This window comes from Homo sapiens, chromosome 5 (genome assembly GCF_000001405.40).
Source record: "Homo sapiens chromosome 5, GRCh38.p14 Primary Assembly".
Taxonomy (NCBI): Eukaryota; Metazoa; Chordata; class Mammalia; order Primates; family Hominidae; genus Homo; species Homo sapiens.
In genome coordinates this window covers 115,083,079-115,092,894 of record NC_000005.10, presented here as the reverse complement: position 1 = coordinate 115,092,894, position 9,816 = coordinate 115,083,079, and the positions used below count along the sequence as shown (strand labels likewise).

General features: G+C 44.6%; 2 annotated features.

The window, feature by feature from the left end:
• Nucleotides 1,370–1,871: an enhancer, noted in NCBI's record as "NANOG-H3K27ac-H3K4me1 hESC enhancer chr5:114426721-114427222 (GRCh37/hg19 assembly coordinates)". NCBI's record gives its function as "activates a minimal SCP1, AML or CMV promoter by ChIP-STARR-seq in naive H9 embryonic stem cells {active_cell/tissue: H9 hESC(naive)}" and the evidence as "EXISTENCE:reporter gene assay evidence [ECO:0000049][PMID:30033119]".
• Nucleotides 1,872–2,371: an enhancer, noted in NCBI's record as "NANOG-H3K27ac-H3K4me1 hESC enhancer chr5:114426221-114426720 (GRCh37/hg19 assembly coordinates)". NCBI's record gives its function as "activates a minimal SCP1, AML or CMV promoter by ChIP-STARR-seq in naive H9 embryonic stem cells {active_cell/tissue: H9 hESC(naive)}" and the evidence as "EXISTENCE:reporter gene assay evidence [ECO:0000049][PMID:30033119]".

The following is a 9,816-nucleotide window of genomic DNA, read 5'->3' as shown; positions in this document are numbered from 1 at the left end:
AGGTGGTGGGCGGCTTCCAAGATGGTGGCAAGCCTCTTGTTCTCTGACCTGGGGTTCTTGGCCTCATGGATTCCAAGGAATGGAATCTTGGGCCATGCAGTGAGTGTTATAGCTCTATTCAGCTCGATTAGGACAAACCCCAGGCAGGAACAATGGGGAGCCTCTAGCCCAATTGGGTGCCGCCTCGCTGGATCAGAAGTGCAGCAGACACCCTGCCAGATCCGGAGGGGTGGAAGTCAGCAGCGGTGTCTGCAACGACAGCTATCAGCAGTGGTGGATGGTGAGGAAAAGCTCAATTCGAACGGGAATAAACACAGACCAGAGAGTGTGCAGTTGCAAGATTTAATAGAGTGAAAACAGAGCTCCCATACAGTGGGAGGGGACCCTAAGGGCGTTGACATTGCTGGCTGGAATGCCTGGGGTTGTATCCCGATCATTATCCATCCCCCTCTGCTCTCAGGTGATAGATGATTGGCTATTTATTTACCTCCTGTTTTAGCCGAATTAGCCTTTTAGTGAGCTGTCTTTACTAGCTGATTGGTCAGGTGTGAGCCAAGTTGCAAGCCCTGTGTTTCAAGGTAGATGTGGTCACCTTCCCAGCTAGGCTTAGGGATTCTTAGTTGGCCTAGGAAATCCAGCTAGTCCTGTCTCTCACTGCCAGCTGCAATGTTGTAGGTCTTCATTATCAATCTAAACTCCATGAGGTTAGGGATTTGATTTGTCCCCCTCTAGTCCATCTCCCGTGCTCAGAACACTGTCTAGCACACAGCATGAGCTCGTAAGTACCTGCTTCATGAATTACTGTACTGACACTATTTAAGTAGTGGAGGAGCCACTTTTTACTTCCCTCCCCCCTTTCCCCAGTAAAGCTCACCCAAGTATTTCTAGCTCCTTTATTCAATTGACCTTTGTAGATCTTGGCCAAGTTTAGGTGCATTTTTTTCCCCATATTTGTGAATCTGAGAGTACAGTGCAGAAGGGGAAGGGCTCTAGCTGTAGTGTCAGCAGGCTTTTCTTTTTACTTTGCTGTCTGGCTCTGCCTCAGTTGCTGACTTTGAGCATAGGTTTGAGCTCTATAAGTACCAGTTCCTACATTTGTAAAACAGGGATAATTATTCTCATACCCAAAATAGAGGTGAATTAAGGATTAAATGCATGAAAGTCACTTTCATAGTGCCTGACATTGGTAAGTGCTAAAGAAATGTTAGTTTTCTTTGGAACTTAGTGACCTTATGGCTAGGCATGGGGGCTCATGCCTGTAATCTCAGCACTTTGGGAGGCTGATGCAGGAGGATCTCTTGAGTCCAAGAGTTTGAGACAAGCCTGGGCAACATAAGGAGAGTCCCATCTCTATTAAAAAAAAAATTAGCCAGGCAAGGTGGCATGCCTGTAGTCTCAGCTTCTCATAGGGGTGAGATGGAAGAATTGCTTGAGCCTGGGAGCCTGAGGCAGCAGTGAGTGGTGATCCTGCCACTGCGCTCCAGCCTGGGCAACAGAGCTCCCTGTCTCAGGAAAAAAAAAAAAAATTTGTGATCTTGCCTTCTAAACTATGGAGATACCCCCAGAAAGTAATGAGAATGACCTGAATATCTGGTTTGCTGGGAGGTGGTTTAGAAGGAGGGAGAACCTCATCTGCTTAGAAAGCTCCTTTCAAAGCAGTATTACAAAGCAATTCTTTTTCTGAGGTATTCAGCATCTGGTGGCTTTGCAAGCTTTTAGCTTTTTATTTTATTTTCTCAGAAAAATATTTGTGCTTTTCTTGAGCTGCTGATTCACCTGTGACCAACTCTTTTTGTTGTGAAAACCCAGCAAGATATGCAAATGCAGAGGGCAGGCATGGCTGCAGGGAAGTTGGAAGCCCACCGCTGGGGCAATTATTCATCTTGGGGGAAACTCCTTTGAAATGGTGCATTTGTGGCCAGGTGCGGTGGCTCAAGTTGGGAGGCTGAGGCAGGTGGATAACCAGAGGTCAGGAGTTCCAGACCAGCCTGGCCAACATGGTGAAACCCCGTCTCTACTAAAAATACAAAAATTAGCCAGGCATGGTCGTGGGCCCCTGTAATCCTGGCTACTTGGGAGGCTGAGGCAGGAGAATTGCTTGAACCTGTGAGGAGGAGGTTGCAGTGAGCTGAGCCAGTACCATCGCACTCCACCCTGGGCAACAGAGCAAATATCTGTCACAACAACAATAACAACAACAACAACAACAACAACAACAACAAAGGTGCATTTGTGAAATTCTGAAGAAGCCCTGAAGGCTGAGGCAGTGAGTGGGAGGATATCTGCTAAGAAGTCGATGTCTGCAACCCTGTGTCTTTGCCAGTACCTTCTAAGCCAGCAAGTTACACCTTAGCGAGCACCTGCTCTAGAATCTATGCAGGTTTCCTTGTCAGTTCTCTCCCTTTCAGATGTCCCTGTGTGATGTGTGTGCCTGGGAGATATGTTGACCTTGGTACAACTAGAATGGTTAGAAATGTGTATTTGCCTCCTCCCAGGTTTCCCCTTTTTAGGGTTCTCACCTCATTTTCTAGTCTCAATTCTCTTTCCACTGGGGCCTTGAAAGGGTGATAGTTGGAAATGACTTTAGGCTGATATCCTTGTCCTTATTAGCATAAGAAACCAAAGGCGTTTGAGATCTTAACGAATTAAATTTCAAAGGCTGAATTTCAGAGGAGGAAATGAGAGGAATTATCTCCACTGGAGCCTTTCTAGGGCCCCTCAAATTACAGTATTGGTAGCTATCTCCCTCTGTGTAGCTATCAGTCCTTGAGAAATGCAAGGTATTGAATTGATTTCCTTTGCTCTTAGTTCAATCTGTTTTTGTTGTTTTTATTTTTATCATAATAATGCTTTCATATTATATTTTGTGATTACTTCTGAGCTTACCACAAAACAAAAACCATACAAACATTATAAAATTGTCAAAACATTAGCTTTATTAAAGACAGAGCTGTTATTGAATGATTCTCCTATTATTTATTTCCCCTGTAGCTTGCTAGATCTTTGTTAACTTTCAGGAAGCCCCAGAACACAGGGTTATAAGTTGTTCTATATTTTAAATGTGCCAGTTCAGCCCCAATATAACACTTTCCTTTCCTCATTTTGCTCAGTGTGAAAACATGGAAATGAAGCCATGCTTTTCCTGGATTTCTCTAGTTTCTAGCAGTTCTACTGTCACTGACAAATGCTGACTTCTTTTTACCAGTAGACTATTTAAATTTTCCTCCTAAGTCAGCATAGAGTTCCAGATATCTACTGAGAGCTGACAATCCTGTTCAGGGCAAATATGTTGGTGAAACTGATGAATAAAGATTATTCACCATCTGTCTTCTTTTTTTATTTATTAAGGATATTAACCCTTTGCCATATATATTGCAAGATTTTTTTCCCCCAGTTTCTTGTTTAGCTCTTGAGTTTTTCTTTTTTTGAGATTAAGGTGTCCCTGTGTTGCCCAGGCTGGTCTCTTATCTCCTGGGCTCAAGTGATCCTCCTGCCTCAGCATCCCAAATAGCTGGGATTACAGGAGCACACCACCACACCCAGCTCTGACTTTCTTTTTTGTAGTATAGTTTCCCCCCAAATGCTTTATACTTTTATATGGTAAATAATTAAATCTTTTTCATTTATGGTCTGGCCATTGGCATATGCTAATCTGTTTTTTCTCAGTAAAAGGAAAATTTCCAATGCCAGAGGCCATATAGGTCATTCTTATGGCTTAGTCACTTTCAGTCCCCCTGGACTCAGAAGACAGGTTATACTTAATTGTAGTTTGTGGGGTACAGGGTTTTGCTACTGAATATCCAAACCTGTAAGTCAAGCTTTTCTTCCAAACCAGGATTAATTTATGAGCATTGCATATTGCTAGTCTGGCTTCTCCAATCTAGGCTTTCTACAGCCACAGCCAGAATCAACTGAGCTTTCCCATCCTTTGTGAGTAAATGAGCAGCTTTGGGGAAAATAATTGGCAGTACTGAGGATGGTGGTGATCTTGCTGCAACCAGCAGATCTGTGACTGCTGAGAACAATGCTGCGCACAAAAGTCCAAACATAACAGGGAGTAATGTCACGCTTATCTCACTTGAACCCTGGGCACTTTAACACTCTAATTTCTCCCTCCTTAAAAAATGTTTTTCCTCAGCCCCAACAAGTGATGATCATCCCTGTATATTTCCATCCCAAGGATCTGTTTTTACTTACTTGTGGTTGTAATTAGAATAGACAAACAATTGTTTTTCAGTTAATATTGTAAACCATGCATCTTTCTGTATTTCTATGTACATATTTTCATTGGCCACATATTATTCTGTTAGTTGGAAAATATGATAATTTTCTTTGTCTTTTTATCTTAACCTGGGTTTCCCCCAAAAGTAGACTTTAGTCAAGGATTTGGGTGTAAGAAGTTGAATAGGAAGGTGATCACAGGATGCGGTGGGTGAACGTGGGGAAGTGAGCCAGGAAAAGGAAGAAAGCCATTGAGGCTGCACTAATAATGGGTTACTTTTTGAGGGTGACTGGAGCTCACTCTTATTAAGATCCTTCTAAGAAACTGTGGAAAATAATCCCAACATTTCCCACCAAGAGGTGAGAAAGCTGGGTCATTATCAGTTTCAGCTCTGGTTGACAGTCTCTGAGACATTAACTCCCTGGTACTTCCAGCCTGCCCCATGTGTGAGCCAAGCACAGTCCTGGGCTGGAGAGTGCCTGCGGGCTGAGAGGCACAGGAAGCCAGTGGACAGTAAGGGAGTTGTCTTCAGATGACCTCCAGGGTGTGTCAAGGGGATATGGGCAGGGCATGAGTGCATCTTTCACAGCACGTCCTTTGTATTGCTTATTAACGTGCCCATGTTAAGTTCACTCTGTCACTAATTCTTTAAAATGGCCTTAATCATACCCCTGATGGAAGGATGTAACAGCAGGGTGGTTGGTGGGATGCTGCTGCAGTTGTTCCCAGGCTGTGGGGATATTCATCCTCTCCTTCACAGAATGTTCATTCTGGAATCCCCTCCTCTTTAGTTAATGTTTCTACTGGTCTAGGTTGCTCACCTAATGGGATGATCAGACCTTCTTCCCTGTTGAGTCTGGCTCCCTGGTGATCTTGCACTTGGAAGGTTATGGAAGCATTAACGGGCACCCCAGTGATCCACTGACATTCTCCCTGCTCCCACTATATAGCAGCAACCATGTCTCCTCATCACAGTCCTCATCAGTTATGCCTGCTAGTCTATTAACTTCTATAGAGGATCCCCAGATGATCAGGAAGCAGTGGTAACTTTAGGTTTAGTAGAACTCTGTTGTGTATATTCCATGCCCGTAGACTAAAATTTCTAACCCTGCAGAACCTAAAGTGGTAAGGAGAGGAATCCCAACATACATAAGTGGTTCACTGGAAGTGATGGTGAGAGGGGTTGTCCATTTGGGCTTGGCCCAAATCTTGGTCCATTTGGGCTGTTATAACAAAATACCACACACTGGGTGGCTTACAGACCACAGAAATGCATTTCTCACAGTTCTGGGGGCTGGAAATCTGAGATCATGTTACCAGCATAATTGAGTTCTGGCAAAGGCCTTCTTCGGGTTGCAGACTGCAACTTCTACTGTAAACTTGCATGTTGGAAGCAATGATCTAGGTCTCTTGGGCCTTTTTTTTAATAAGGGCACTAATCCAATTCATAAAGGTGCCACTCTCATGACCTAATCACTTTCCAAAGTCCCCCACCTCCTAATACCATCAACTTAGGGTTTAAGATTTCAACGTAAGAGTTTTTGGGGGACAAAAACATTCAGACCATATCAGGGGTTATTCCTACTCATACCCCTTCATTTCTAGTCCTATGTATTTTAACTACTCAGGACACTAACCACATAATGTCTGTTGATTCAATGTTTATATCTTATCTTGAAGGACTACACCTCAACTGGGTGACATTCCCAAGCTGGAACAATAGCTGTGTCTTTAACAGGTTATTCCAATGTTCTATCACACTGGCAGCCTTCTGGGTGGAGTGGTAAATGATAGCACCAGTGGATCCTGTGAACATGTGCCCATTGTTGCATTGTTATAAAGTGGGTCCCTTAGTCCAAGTAGATGTTATATAGGACCTCTTACTGGTAAGTCACATACTCTATGAACCCTCCAATAATCATGTTGATATAGGCAGTATAGGCAAAGAAGGCAAATGTTACCTGGACTACACATCCGTCCCAGTAAAGATGAATCACTGCTTCTCTAGTGTGTAAGGAAATCAACTTGTCACCAAGTGATTTATTGGCTTCCTTGAGGGAATGTATGCCATATTTAGGGCTCAGTATTGGTTTCTTTCCTCTCCCTCCCTCCCTCCCTCCCTCCCTCCCTCCCTCCTTCCTTCCCTCTCTCCCTCCCTCCCTCTCTCTCCCTCCTTCCCTTCACTCCTGTCTTATTCTGTTGCCCAGGCTGGAAAGCAGTGAAGCAGTGGTGCAATCACCACTCACTGAAGCCTTGACCTCCCAGGCTTCCCAGTAGCTGTGACCACAAGTGTGCCACCACACACAACTAGTTTTTACTTTTTTGTAGAGATGGGGTTTCCCTATGTTGCCCAGGCTGGTCTTGAACTCACAGGCTCAAGCATTCCTTCTGCCTTAGCCTCCCAAATTGCGGGGATTACAGGCACGAGCCATTGTGCCTGTCTTAGTTTCTTTTTAAAATTTTTATTAAAAAAATAATCGTTTATTCTTGAGACAGGGTCTCACTCTGTTGCCCAGGCTAGAGTGCAGTGTGGCACAATCATAGCTCACTGTAGCCCTGAACTCCTGGACTCAAGTGATCTTCCTGCCTCAGCCTCCTGAGTAGCTGAGACTACAGGTATGAACCACCATGCCTGGCTAATTTTTTTGTAGAAATGGGGTCTCACTGTGTTTCTCAGGCTGGTCTCAAATTCCTAGCATCAAGTAATCCTCCTGCCTTGGCCTCCCAAAGTGCTGGGGTTACAGATGTGAGCACTGCACCTGGCTAGTATTGGTTTCTGATACTGATATTTAGCAGTGGTAGTAACTAAAGTATTCTTGATAAGAAGGGCCTGTGCTATCAGGCTTTGGCATAGCTTCCATCCCTGCCACCATGATTACTCTAGTCACAACTTACTGTGAAAACAATGGAGTGCCTGAGAACAGAGGCTGACTACCAGCACAGGATGAGTCTTCCTGTGTAAGCCCTCTTTGATGAATGATCTGGTAGGCACTGACCTGAATCACAAAGACATATACATGTGCTCCTTCTCCAGACTTCCTTGATCCTATCTTCCAATATTTCTCCCTTTCTTTTTTCAGGCCCTGACCAGCCAACAGAGCTGTTTACCACTTCCCAGGAGTTCTTGAATATCTCTGCCTCTGGCCACTTTTTCCTCCCCCCAACAGTTAATGACTACATGTGCTGCTCAAAGCTCTTTCTACTGGGAGAGCTTTATTTTTTTCTCTCTCCACCAGCTGATCTTAGGAAATCCCTCACAAGGTCATAGGTAAGAACTAAGGAAGCGGCAAGAGTTCAAGAGTTTGGCAACTTAGCATCTGGGTCACCCTTCCGTGTAACTTAGTTGTGTCTGCCAGACCTCCTCAGGCCTAATCTTAAATGTAGTGGTGTGTTGGCCAGGAAGCCAAGCTACAACATTCATCAGAGCGGTGAGCAGAGGAGTAAACTCAAAATCTGTCCTTTCATTCCAAGCTCTTGGCCTCCATTTTAAAATCAAATCAAATTGACCAGGCACAGTGGCTCATGCCTGTAATCCTAGCACTTTGGGAGGCCAAGGTGGGCAGACTGCCTGAGCTCAAGAGTTCAAGACCAGCCTGGGCAACATGGTGAAACCCCATCTCTACTAAAAATACACACACAAGAAATTAGCTAGGTGTAGTGGTGCATGCTTGTAGTCCCAGCTACTTGGGAGGCTGATGCACAAGAATTGCTTGAACCTGGGATTGGAGGTTGCAGTGAGCCAAGATCATGCCACTGCACTCCAGCCTGGGTGACAGAGCAAGTCTCTGTCTCAAAAAAAAAAAAAAATCAAATCAATAATGGGCATCTGTCAGCTGTCTAGATACGCTAGCATGGCAGACGTTCTTAAAGATTTGGATGTCAGGCTTGCTGGGGAGAACATGGAGAACCCCCGAATACCCATGGGTCACTGGGAATGTTGGCCATGCTTCAAACTATCTTCTTTTCACGGGGAATCTTAGCCATTGTGTGAGGCTGGGAAAAGTCCTGAAGCAACTAAGAATTTCTGGCTGGGGCACACCCTGGTGTTATTCAAAGGCTTCTGGACCGGACCCAGCCTCTGACAGCCTGCCCAGGTGTTGTTGAAGGATCTCCAGCTATCCTGTCACAAAACTTTCCTTCTTTTTCTATCTGTGGTTGCTTTGTCTCTTATTCTCTCTGTGTATTGAATATGTATGAGTTTTTATAGCCTAGGGAAGTAATCCTATTAGGCAAGATCAGGAAATGCTGTAGTAACCGGGGATATAGCTCAGGACAATACCGCTGCACTCTTCTAGCAACAGAGGTCTTCCCTTTCCCCCATAGTGAGGTCATTCGCTACTATTCCTCTGGTGAGTACGTGGTATTTCTAAGCCAAGAGCCCACCTAATGGAAATATAAATCCTCTTTATAAGACACATTGCTGGTCCTCTGCTGAACATTGCAGCTTCCCAATTTTTCCTTTTTCCACCTTTCTATTGGAAACCAGGCTTTATGCTGCTTCTGTGAATGGGAAAGTTCTGCCTTCAACAATTAGGAGTAAAATGTCCTCTGCAGCCAAATTTTAGTCCCGATACTGTCCCATTAGCAGGAAAATCGCCATTAGGTCCCCATGTCCCTTTAAGACACCTATTCTGTCTCTGATTAAGACAGTACTTAATTAGTAAGGGGATTTTAAGTCCGGAAGTTAAACAGAACCATTTTTCTAAGGGTAAATGCTTTAGCATGGACCATAATAGCAGGCAATCTATCACATTCCCTCCATTAAAGGAGACTTGCCTTTTATATCATCTTTCCCAAGGTATTTTTTTTTTTTTTTGAGGGAGGCACACAGGTCACACAAGTCTAGGAAGTCAAAGGGAAATCACAGGCTGATGACTAGAGGTACTTGGGTGACTGTGACTAGCCCAATAGCTTAGTATCTCTGTTGCCATGGTTTGGAGGGTCATGCCTACAACCATGGGTGGCACATTTAACAGGGTGCCAGGAACCAAGGAGGAAAAAACAGTCAGGGGGGATGCTCCCACTATCTTCTTCTCTACCCTGGGTCTCACACAGAAAGGAAGGAGACTTCAGGGACACCTTCTTCTCACTTCTCTTTCTAGATGGGTAACAGATCATCTTCAGCATGCACTCCCCTGGAGTGTATTCTAAAGCACTGGGACTCCTGTGACCCTGAGACTTTGAATAAAAATTGCCTCATATTCTGTTGCACAGGGCATGGCCTTCTTACCATCTTGGGGACAGACAAACCTGGCCTGCTGGAGGGAGCCTTGATTTTAATATTATCCAACAATTAGATCTTTTCTGTAGACAGAAGGGCAAATAGCCTGAGGTCTCCTATGTACAGGCTTTCTTTGCCCTGCAACACAACCCAAACCTTTACAAGCTTTGCACAATGGACCTAGTTCTCTTAGCAGCCATGGCAGGCAAACCCACAGGGAATAGTTCCCCAGAGCTAAAGCAGATTCCAGAGGAGCAATCTGAGACAGCTGTTGAATGTCCCAACCCTCCTAGTGCCCCTCATCCAGAACCCCCTCCAGTCATACCATCAGCTCCTCCAGCTCTACCATCTCCAGTATTACCCACTTTCCCCA